The 12,652-nt window shown below is 33.9% G+C and overlaps 1 protein-coding gene across 20 annotated transcripts in view; it reads left to right on the top strand.

Annotated features, from left to right (window-relative positions):
• Positions 1 to 12,652, top strand: part of LCORL (ligand dependent nuclear receptor corepressor like) — a 180,689-nt gene that overhangs the window by 119,010 nt on the left and 49,027 nt on the right. Inside the window, exon 6 of one of the 20 annotated variants that reach the window (NM_001365661.1) lies at positions 9,283 to 10,574. The exons of the other annotated variants lie outside the window; for them this stretch is intronic. Coding sequence (NP_001352590.1) covers positions 9,283 to 9,437 — 155 coding nt within the window. The 3' untranslated portion in view covers positions 9,438 to 10,574. Of the gene's footprint in view, positions 1 to 9,282; positions 10,575 to 12,652 lie in introns of those variants that run through there. 20 annotated transcript variants of the gene reach the window in all.

Below are 12,652 nucleotides of genomic sequence, written 5' to 3'. Positions count from 1 at the left end.
ACTTCAAAATGTTATCAGTAGGGTCAACTTTGGAATCCATAACTTCTAGTTTAAATTTCTTTTTAACAAATTATGTATAGGACTAATACTAAGTAGGCTTCAAGTGACTATTTGAGAGACTATATTGAATAAAATATATGAATTTCAGCCGCATATTTAGTTGTCATTAAGTATCCTTTGTTGCTGCTGCCACCACCACTGTTGTGCTTTCTTGGCTGTGATTAAGGTAGGTGTTACTATGTGTAAGAGAGTCACGTATAGTTTTATGATGTTATGTATGCTTAATTATGTGGTTTATAAATTAAGTTTTGTAATTCTGTTTGGAAATCACTAAACAGTTTTTAAAGTTCAGTTCAAAAAAATTTCTATGTCCGCTAACGAAATTGTCTATCTTGTTTTTCTATGCCGAGCTTTTGTTTTCTGTGGCTAAAAACATGTGGAAGAAAATGTTATATTCCATGCTTGGGAAGATGCCATGTTTTAGTCGACCTGAAAAATAAAACATATGTCTAGATGGTTATGTGTCCCTTCTAATCTAACCTCCTCTGACTGCAGGGATAGAAGAAACAGGTGATACTTTAAAATTCCAGATCTAGGCCTACGCTCTCCTGCTGAAAATCCTTTAATGGCTTCATATTGCCCTTTAGATAACGTCTAAAATCCTAAACTCCAGGAACCAGCCCCTGCCCACCTATCCAGCCACATCTTGTGTCTCTCTTTCTTTAGTCTTCATATTGGCTTTTTCTCATTTTCTTAAATATGTCATACACTCTCAGAACCTCAGAACACTGACAAAAAAGCTACCTTCTACCCCCAACCAGTTTTTTTTTGTAAGTACATATTACTTATTTTTTTTCCAGGTCTCCTTTTAAACATTAGTTTCTTAGGAAAGCCTCCTCCACACCTCCCATATTGGATGTACACAGACACACACATTGATATTCTTATTCTTACTCATATTTAGTTTGGGGTTCTTACAGTATTTTTATATAATATCCTATATTGTTTTGTAGCATTTGTTACCCTTGTAATTATTTGTTTCAACCATCTTATCTGCTGTTTATTTGGTCTTGTTATGCTTTTTTTTCCTCCTTATTTTCTTTTGGATTGGGTTTCCTCACTTTTCTTTCTTTGCTTACTTTGAAGTTATATACTCTACTGCTATTAAGTTTGTAGTTACCTTAGAAGGTTTTAAAGGTATAGTTAATATAAAAAATTTAGAGTCACCTGCCCTGACACTTACAGCTATATTGAGTGCTGTGTTTCCCTTGTGTGCTGTGTTTCCCTTCTTGTGACATCACAACTTAAACACAACCATTTGTTTTATATCATCAATTTTTGTTGAGAATTACATACATGATTATCATCTCTTTTGCTTATCATTTCTTCTTATATTTCACATGTTCTTCTGGGATCAGACATTCCTTAAATAAGGGTTTATTGGTAGTAAACTCTCAGGATTTTGTTGTTTTTTTTTTTATTTCATTTTCTTTTTCACTTTCATTCTTAAAAGACGTTTTCTCTAGGTACATAATTATCTGTTTGGTATGATTGTTGTGACTGCCAACGAATAGTCTTTTCCTTATAGGTAACTTTACACACTCTACTTTTGGGCTCTCTCTCACTCTTTCTCTCCCTGTTTTGTTTATGGTATTCTGCAGGTTGTCTTGGATATGTTTGGAAGCAGATTTCTTTTTTTTTTCTTCATATAAGCCACAGAATATATTTAATTCAGATTAAACATGAAACTAGAATAATGTTCTGTCCTTACCAAGTAGCAATTACATTTTTTTTAAAAAAAAGAACAATACATTTCTGTCTACATTCCGGCAATCCAACAAGGCAGCACGGGTCACAATCCAACCAAGGCAGCATGGGTCACAAGCAGTTTGATGAGGTGACAGGGGAAGCAGATTTCCTTTCTTTATTCTACTTAAGAGTTATATGTTTCCTAAAACTAAGGAGAAATCTCATCAATTGTGGACATTTTTCAGCCATTATCTGTTCAAATATATTTTTACTCTCACTTTTATTTCCTGTCAAAATCCATTTAGACATATTTTGGATCTTCTTATTTTATCCTCCCTACCTCTTCCTTTTCACATTTTCCATCTCTTTGTTTCTGTGTAATATCATGATTAGTTTATTCAGAAATATTTCCCAATTTACTAATTCTCTTTCAAGCTATGTTAATCATGATTTAACCTGTGTCTTGAGTTTCTAATTTGTCATTATACTTTTCATTTCCAGAAGTTAATTGTTACTTTTTCCAAATATGCCTGTCAGCATGCCCATAATTTTACAAAAGAATCACTAAGCAAGATATCAAAAGTGACTGAGAGGTTATTTTAGATAAGATCGTTGAGGAAGACCTCCATAAAGAAGTGAGTTTGAGCTGAGACTTGAATAATGAGAGGAAGTCCTCCATATGAAGATCTAAGGTCAGGGCATTTAAGTCAGAAGAAATATCAAATATAAATACACAATATCAAAACTCAGGGCAGGAATATATCAGATATATTTGAGGAACTGTATGAAAATTGTCTCAGGTGAAAATCAAGAGATTGTTCAAAGCTTTTTTAATAAGGTGAGATTATAGAATGTGAAGAAATAAAATTGTTACAGTATATATAAGCTGGATTTTTCTTTTTTCTGTTTTGTAAAGAATGTCATTTTTTTAAAAAGTGCACTTTTTAAATTCAGAAGTTCCATAAATGCTATCTAAAATGTCACTTGACTAACTTAATTATTAGGTATATAAAGCAAAAAGAAAAAGAAAAAAGAAATTAGTGTCCTCTGTTGCCATTCAGTTTTTTACAAAAATTTGTTATATGGGTTAAGTATTCTTTATCTGAAATGCTTGGGACCAGAAGTGTTTCAGATTTTGGATTTTTATCTTATTTTGGAATATTTGCATGTACATAGTAAGATATCTTGTGGATGGGGCCCAAGGCTAAACAGAAAATTCATTTGTTTCATATACACCTTATACAAGCAGTCTGAAAGTAATTTTATATAATATTTTAAATAATTTTGTGCATGAAGCAGTTCATGTTAAGTACTCATATGATATAAAGTTGATCACCAACCCTGTGGGTTTCCAAGTGTCAATTCTTGTTTTTTTCTTTTCCCTTGTAATTTCTCCAAGTATTCTCTCCCCAAAGAGATAACTTTCGTACCTACTTTATAACCTTGAAGTTATCAATATGCCAAAATTGGGTTCTTATGCCCAGTTGTAATAAAGCTGATAGTTTGTATTTAATCTTCCTCTTGGTTTTCTGTTACATTAAGAACAAAATTTACATTTCTTTTAATGACTTACTAGGTTCTGCCAAGATTTTGTTCCTGCCTACCACTCTGGACTTGTTCCGTTTCCTTCTCTTCTTCGCCTAGGTGTAAGTCACACTGTCTATGTCTGACACTTGCCAAGCCCACTGTACTTCAGGGCTGCTGATCCCTTTGCCTGGGTTACTCTGCCTTCACATATTCTTGTTTTTTTTTGGCTTGCCCCCTGTTCATCATTTCTGTCTTAGCTAGAGTATCCCCTTAACAATAAGAAAATGATAAATTCCAAATTTCAATGTATAAACAAAAGAAACTTCTTCATGACACAGAAGAAAGCAGTATTAGAAAAATCAAAAGACAGTGGCAGTCTGTGAAAAAATGTTTGCACCTTATAAAATAAAAAATGAATGATTCTAATCTATTAAGAGTTTCAAAAAATTGAAATGTAAAATATGAACAGCCTGATAGAAAAATGAGCATAATTATACTGTCAGTTCATAGAAGAAATTTTAAAAGCCCTTAAACATAGGAAAATACTCTAAACCATACTCATGTGATTCACACCTGTCACACTGATAAGAATTCAAGTTTAGCTATATACCCTGTTTGTCAAAGCTGTTAAGCAACAGACATTTTCATGCATTACTGTGGAAATACAAACTGGTGCAGTCCTTATGGAGGCATTGACAGTATCTTACATTTTATAAGCGTTTGTCCTTTGACCTAGCAATCCCATTTCAGGGAATCAAGCCTTTAATTACACCTGCACAAATATGGAATGATATGCATTCAGGGTGATTCACTGGGACATTAATTGTAATAGCAGGACATTGGAAATAATCCAAATATCCATCAGTAGTGCCCTGGTTAGTTAAATTATTTATATCCACACAATGGAAGGCAAACATCAAAAAAAAAAAAAAAAAAACGGTGAGAATGATCTCTTGATAGTGAATTTCCAGGTTTTCTTGTGAGGTAATAAAAAGCAAGTTGCAGAAATACATATATTACATGCTCTCTTTTGTGTAGAAAAGCAGGGAAGATAAGCCAAAAACTAACGACAATGAATGTGGTTACCAAGAAGGGGATGAAGTAAATGAGGCAGATGAGACAGGAATGGAAGTGCTCTCAACAGATCTTGTTATTGAGTTTTATGTAAATATTCTGTATATTCCAAAGGATAAACATTTTTTTAAAGTAGAGCAATCCCAAAAACTTGAAGTAGAATATAACAAATAAACCTGGCTGGGTCAAATTAGTAACATAATGTTAGTAACATAACATTGAGAAAAGAATTATATCAAGTGATTTTACCCAGCATTTTGACTATACATTCTTAGTGAAATACATTCCAAGGGCAATAGAATATATTCCAAGGGCAAAAAAATACTTTAAGGAACCCTTAAACCTTTTTTTTAGTAATACTAGTAATAATGTTGTCATTATTTTTTGAGTCTGTAGAACAAACCAAATATGTAATCATGTTAACATCATTATGAAACCAGTATTTTCAGTGTAAGAGAAAAAACAAGCAACATCAAGTAAAAAACCTTATATTACATGTGGATTGGAAACGCAGTGCAAACCATGAATTATTTTCAAAAATACACATTTCCTCATCTGATCACTGAAATAGCCTATAAGCAACGAAAACTCAGTGGCATTGAACCTAAACCTGGAGTGTGGTCTCTAAACATTATTTCCCTTTGAAAGGAAGCAGGCCTCTTTGGACTTCAGGTTTGGACTAGGAAATGTACAAGATGAGCCTGGAACATCTTGTGCTAGCAGGCAAGGAAGCCCAAAGACGAATTTGTTAAAAGAATACAGGAGTCAATGTTAAAGGTTCCCAGGTGGTCAAGTATGAAAATATTTGATCATCAGTAGAAGAACAATTTCGGTGGAATGAAAAATATTGAATGTTTTAAAATGTACTCATTTATGAGAACCAGAAACTGAAAGTGTCCCCCAGAGTTAGTAGTCTCTATTGGAGGTACACACCACACCAGTTCTTTACTGTGAAAATTAACAATTAAAGGAAAGTGTTAAGTATTTATTTTGCTTTTTCTATACAAATTGTGTTTCAGGACAACCAAATCATTTAAAGAAAATTCTTGAAGAATGTTGGCTAATAAATATGGAAGGCATAATAGACTTAAAATATTACTGTTTTTCCACCCCAATAAGATAATTGAATCAAACAACAGAATCAGAAGATAAAGACTAATGTAAATTAATACAGCCACTGTGGAGAACAGTTTAGAGGTTACTCAAAAAACTAAAAATAGAGCCACTATATGATCCAGCAATCCCATTGCTAGGTATATACCCTAAAAAAAAAAAAAAAAAAAAAAAAAAAAAAAAAAAAAAGAAATCAGTATATCAAAGAGAAGTCTGAACTCCCCTGTTTATTGCAGTTTTATTCACAATAGCCAAGATTTGGAAGAAACCTAAGTGTCCATCAGCAGACAAATGGATAAAGTAAATGTGGTACACATACACAATGGAGTGCTATTCAGCCATAAAAAAGAATGAGATCCTTTCATTTGCAACAAGATGGATGGAACTGGAGGTCATTATGTTAAGCAAAATCAGGCACAGAAGGACAAACTTTTCATGTTCTTACCTACTTGTGGGAGCTAAAAATTAAAGCAATTGAACTCATGGAGATAGTAGAAGGATGGTTACCAGAGGCTGAGAAGGATAGTGGGGGGTGGGGTAAGGAGGAAGTGGGGATAGTTAATGGGTACAAAAAAGTAGAATGAATAAGATCTAGTATTTGAGAGCACAATAGGATGACTGTAGTCAATAACAGTTTAATTGTACATTTTAAAATAACTGAGTATAATTATATTGTTTGCAACACAAAGGATAAATGCTTGAAGTGATGGATGCCCCGTCTACCCTGATGTGATCGTTATACAATTGTATGTCTGTGTCAGAATGTCTCATGTACCCCATACTCAGTAACCACAAAAATTAAAACTTACAAAAGAAACACAGGCCAGGCGTGGTGGCTCACACCTGTAATCCCATCACTTTGGAAGGCCAAGGCGGGTGGATCACCTGAGGTCAGGAGTTCGAGACCAGCCTGGCTAACAGTGAAACCCTGTCTCTACCAAATACAAAAAAATTATCTGGGTGTGGTGGTACATGCCTGTAATCCGAGCTATTTGGGAGGCTGAAACAGGAGAATCGCTTGAACCTGGGAGGCGGAGGTTGCAGTGAGCTGAGATTGTGCCATTGCACTCCAGCCTGGGCAACAAGAGCGAAACTCCCTCTTGAAAGAGAGAGAGAGAGAGGGAAGGAAAGGAGAGGAGAAAAGAAAGAAAGAAAGACATTGTTTCACATCCACTAGGGATGGCTAGAATCTAAAAGATACAAGAAGTGTTGGCAAAGATGCAGAAAATTTGGACCCCTGATACATTGCTGGTAAGAATATAAAATGATGCAACCCCTTTGGAAACAGTCTGAAGTTCCTCAAAAGGTTGCGCATCCAGTTATATAACCCAACAGTTCTACTCTGAGGAACCTACTCAAGAGAATCGAAAACATATGTCCACACAAAAACTTGTTCACAAATGTTTATAACAGCATTATTCATAATAGCCAAGAAGTGCAAACAACCCAAATGTCCATTAACTGAAGAAAGGATAAGTAAAATATTGTACATCCATACAATGGAATAGTATTCAACAATAGAAAGGAGTACTGATGCATGCTACATGAGTGAACCTTAAAAACATTGTGCTAAGTAAAAGCAGCCAGTCAAAAAAGACCAAATATATGATTCTATTTGTATGAAATGTTTAGAATAGGAAAATCCATAGGCATAGAAAGTAGATTACTGGTTGCCAAAGGCCAGGAGTCATAGGACAAGGGAGAGCAGTCGCCCAAGGGTGCAGGATTTCTTTCTAGGGTGGAGAAAATATTCTAAAATTGTGATGGTTGCACAACTCTGAATACAGAGAAAACTGCTGAATTGTAATAGCCAAGATTACGGGATCAACCTAAATGTCCATCGACAGATGAATGGTTTTTTTTAGTGTGGTATATATACAAAGTGGAATACTATTTCAGCCAATAAAAAATGAAATCCTGTCATTTGCAACAACGTGGATGAAACTGGAGGACATTAAGTAAAATGAAATAAGTCCAGCACAGTAGGACAAATACAATATGTGTATTTGTCACTCATGTGGAATCTAAATAAAGTCGATCTCATAGAAGTAGAGAGTAGAATAGTGATTACCAGAGGCTGGAAAAGGGTGTGGGGAGGGGAATGGACAGAGGTTGATCAACAGGTACAAAGTTAGGTAGGAGGAATACTTGTGTTTTGTTGCACAATAGGGTGACTATAGTTAATGGTAACATAGTTCAAAACAGCTAAAAGAATATTTTGAATGTTGTCACCAAAAAGACAAGTGTTTGAGGTGAATATGCTAATTACACTGATTACTGTACAATGTGTACATGTATACATGTATGTACCCCATAAATAGGTTCAATTATGTGTCAATTCAAACCAATAAAACTTTTTTTATATATATTATATATATAAACATATATATATAAAGATAAATATCAGAGGAAAGATTATTTTGAGAACTTTACAACAGAGGGGTCAGACTGTCACCATCAGAACACACTGATCACTTGAGCATCATTGAAAATAGACTTTATGTACCTCGTGATATGTCACTTCACCTGTGAAGTATTCTTACCAAAAATGTTGAACACGGATCTAAACAATTATTAGACCGCTGGTTCTCAAGCATAGTCAGGAAGCCCTGAGAATCCCTGAAACCCTTTCAGGAGATATACCAGGTTAAAATTAGTAATATGTTATTTGTTCTTTTTACTCTCATTCTCTCACAAGTGTGTATAGTAAAGTCGCCCAGAAGCTACATGATGTGTGATATCTCAACACAATCAATGCAGAAGCAGATGTGAGAATTCAGCTGTTTTCTATTAAGCTGGACATTAAAGAGATCTACAAAACTGTTTTTAAAATATAATTCTTTTTACTCATCTTGAAAACGTTTTTCATAAGTGTTTTTATGAACATTAACATTTTTAGCGTTGTTATTGTTATCAATTATAAATACTTTTAAAATCCTTTTATTTAATTTCTGTTATGGTAAATATCAGTAGATACAGCCCACATAAAAGGTCTGCAATAATTTTTAAGAGTAAAAAGGAATTGTGAAATCCAAGTTTGAGTTACTTGCTTTATTGCCAATTCCAAGTTTATCAGAATTATTATACAAGAAATTTTTTGAAGCAAAGTAAATGATACCACAGGAAAATAGTGCAGATGGTCATCAACTTAAGATGGTTCAACTTACAGTTTTTCAACATTACAATGGGTGTATTGGGATATAAATGCATTTTTGACTTACTATATTTTTTTATTTACAGTGGGTTTATCAAGACATAGCCCCATCATAAATTGGGGAAAGTGCTGCCCTAAATTAGAGACCATGGCCAGGCGTGGTGGCTCACGCCTGTAATCCCAGCACTTTGAGATGCTGAGGCAGGTGGATTACTTGAGGTCAGGCGTTCAAGACCAGCCTGGCCAACATGGTGAAACCCCATCTCTACTAAAAATACAAAAATTAGCCAGGCATGGTGGCGCACACCTGTGATCCCAGCTACTCAGGAGGCCAAGGCTGGAGAATCGCTTGAACCCAGGAGGCAGAGGTTGCAGTGAGCCAAGTTCATGCCACTGCACTCCAGCCTGGGCAGCAAAGCAAGACTCCATCTCAAAAATAAATAAATAAATAACCTTAGAATCAAATGTGTCACACTAAGAATCAAATGTAACACAGAGACATTATTTGATTCTAGTTGAAGATACCAGCTGTAAAAACACATTTTGGACTCAAGAAATTTCAATGCAAATTATGCATTAGAAGATAGCTTTACCTACTGTAGCAAAACTAGAAAACAAATAAGAAAATGAAGAAAATAACAATTTTCCTGTATTCTTCCACCCAGAGCTATCTGCAGGTGCTCCTGTGTTCAGTCCTTCCAAACCATTTTCTGAAGAATATCTACCTGTGCACAAAACACACTCGCAGTGCTCAGCCCCACTGACCTACCACATGAGATATATATCCTCTGTAAACTGTTTGCATAATTTATATTTTTGACATCCTTATGTTACTAAGTATTTTTCTGCAGAATCATTTTAATACTTAAATTCATTTACTTAGCTCAATAGTATGGAAGGATCACATATTGTGTGTCTTGTATATATAAATAAACATTCTTGAGCTAAGGTTTTAAACTCAATCTTAATTTTTACTTCAGGACAAATTCCTAGAAGTGAAATTGCTGGATCTAAAAGAATGTATAATGCTGTTGAAAGTTATGGTAGTAGGGGTAGGGGCAAGGTGGTGACCAGAAGAAGATACTGAGGTGGGGGAGCATCAGGGTTGACACTGGTAAGTAGGTGTAGTTTTTATACAGGAAGGTTGAGTTCATGAAAATTCATTAAACTGTATAGTTAGATTGTACTTTTATGTAAAACATTTATAAAAGGTTTTTTAAAAGTAATCATTTTTGGAGGAGCATAACAAGGAGTCTCAAATGCATGGTTAAAAAAATCTAAAGTCTTCCACTATGATGTTGCAATAAGTATACAAACCATGTTTTAAATAATATATTTGGCTAAAACTTTTTACAGAATAAGGTAATGTAATATAGAGGATAAAAGAGAACATGTTCTTTAAAATGTTTTTCATAGGTACTGACTTGAAACCTTTTGAAGCCATGATTTAATTCAGTACTTGCAGGAATAACTGAAGAAAGAAAAAAGAATTACAATAAGTCTAAAGTGGCATTTGGTGGAAATGTTGAAGCCTTATTTTAATTTCACCTATAGCATTTTCCTAAATTTGCTATTATAAATGTTTACATCTTAAATTCACTATAAGCACTTTACTTTGATTTATATCATCTCATCGTGAATAAATAGTAGATTAATGAATTCTGTAGTATTTCAGCTATATATATACAAAACAAAACACATCGGGAAGAAAATAACCTTCCAGTTAAAAAACTATTTGAGCCCGGGCATGGTGGTTCATGCCTGTAATCCCAGCACTTTGGGAGGCCAAGGCGGGCAGATCATTTGGTGCTCAGGAGTTCGAGACCAGCCTGGCCAATATGGTGAAACCCCGTCTCTACTAAAAATACAAAAATTAGCTGGGCTTGGTGGCCAGTGCCTGTAATCCCAGCTACTTGGGAGGCTGAGGCAGGAGAATCACTCGAACCCAGGAGGTGGAGGTTGCAGTGAGCCGAGATTGTGCCACTGCACTCCAGCCTGGGCAACAGAGTGAGATTCCGTCTCAAAAAAAAAAAAAAAAAGAAAAAAAAAAATACTATTTGACTTGCAGAGGTAGGCAAATGAAGGAAAAACCAATCCTAAGGCTGGAATAATGTGCTACTCTTGTGTTATTTCTCCCATGACTGAAACGCCATAGTTAAACAGTAACAATCAAAACAATTTTATTTGCAGTGAGCATAAGACTTCAAATTTTTAAAATCGAAATTTGGATAAACCCAGGGAATGCTTTTACACTTTGTTGATTTTTTTGCTAATTAAGTTTACGGATTTTTTTTATTATGGAAACTTGGGAAAGGCAGAAAAGTATGTGTAAGTGTATATGTAGGCACATACATACCTAGGTATGTGCATGCACACAATCACATATTTTAACTGCTCGACGCTTTATCAACCAAAGATCACCATTGTTCCCATTTTTGTATATTTACTTCCACAGTTTATTCTATATTTCATTTTATTTGGGGGTTCTTGTTTTACATGCAAAACATATTTACATCATCTGTATATCAAATTTTATATCGTACCTTTTAAAAATGTTATAGTAGCATTTGCATTTACATGTTTACATCATCTGTATATCAGATTTTTATATCATACCTTTTAAAAACGTTACAGTAGCATTTGCAGTTTTTTCATGCTTTATTAATGCCTTACTGGCAGTGTTAAATCTAATTCTCAAACAAGTGAAGGGACCATAATTTATGTAACCATTTTTTAAATATTTAGTGTTTTTAAAAAATTGTACAATCTACGGTATATCTTTTTATATAGAACCTTTTTTATGTTAAATATTATTTTCTTAAAATAGATACCTAGAAGAGTGTAAACATTTTTAAGATTTTTGAAGACATATGGCTACATCGTTTTTTGTTTTTGTGTTTTTTAAGAGACAGGAGTCTTACTATGTTGCCCAGTCTGGACTTAAACTCTGGGCTCAGGTAATTCTTCCGTCTCAGCCTCTCAAGTAGTTGATTTCTCTTTCATTTTCAGTTTTATTATCAAAATTTGCACATTAATAAACCTATTTATGCCATCCGGTTGTTGTGAGAACTGGATGAGTTAAGACATGTAATGTTTGTAGCAAATGCTTCGCACACTTTAAGTACACTATAGAAAAATAGAGTTTTAAACACATTAGGTTTAATGTAAGTTACTAATATTTTCTAGCAATCAGTCGAATATAATTAACAAAACCATAAGAATTTCCTAGAGAGGAGAATAGCAAAAGGCCAGATAAGAGATGAAACAGAATGATTTCCTTGGAGGGGTGGAAAACAATTCTATATTATGAAGGTTCCAGTTGTCCTTTTTGAATAGATCCTGTATCAGAAATTTGCATGACAATACAGGAAAGAAAACAGTTTATAAATGAAAAATTGAAATCTGAATTTTAACTAAAAACCCAATAAAGTGTCAGTATTCAAGAAATTGCCCAATGTGGCCATGACTTCAATTTTTGAAACGTCAGTTTATTTTTAAATTGAATTCCGGTAGTGTTATATAGACAATTACCTGACCTTGTTCAAAGATTAGATTGGCTTATCTTTAATTCTGTACATTTTACAATAGCGTTTGGTCAGAAATAATTAAATTATAGTGTTAAATGACCCGTCTCCAACCAGTAAATGAAAACAATTTTGTATTTATTAAATGTTAGTAAAAATTTTGAATATACAGAAAAATACAATGTAATAATCCTGTACTTGTTAACCAGAATTAATAAACGTGTTACTTGTTCATATTTACCTCTGATTTGTCTTCTCTTAAGGAACTAAAGTATTTCTAGAAATACAGTTAAGATCCTTTTAGATCTTTTTGTTTACCCTTGGAAGCAACCAATGATACCACCTATTTATGTATCTGTAAACAAAATAGTTTTGTGTGCTTTAAATATTCACATAAATGGCATAATAAATACACTGTCTTTTTCACTTAATCCTGAAGTTTACTTATTCACCAAAAATTAAAAATCACAGCAACACCAAGTGTTATCAAGGATGTGGGAAATAAATTTGG

The sequence above is a fragment of the Homo sapiens genome, chromosome 4, assembly GCF_000001405.40.
Source record: "Homo sapiens chromosome 4, GRCh38.p14 Primary Assembly".
Lineage (NCBI taxonomy): Eukaryota > Metazoa > Chordata > Mammalia > Primates > Hominidae > Homo > Homo sapiens.
The sequence above is the reverse complement of the archived record's forward strand: the minus strand, read 5'-3'. Positions and strand labels throughout refer to the sequence as shown.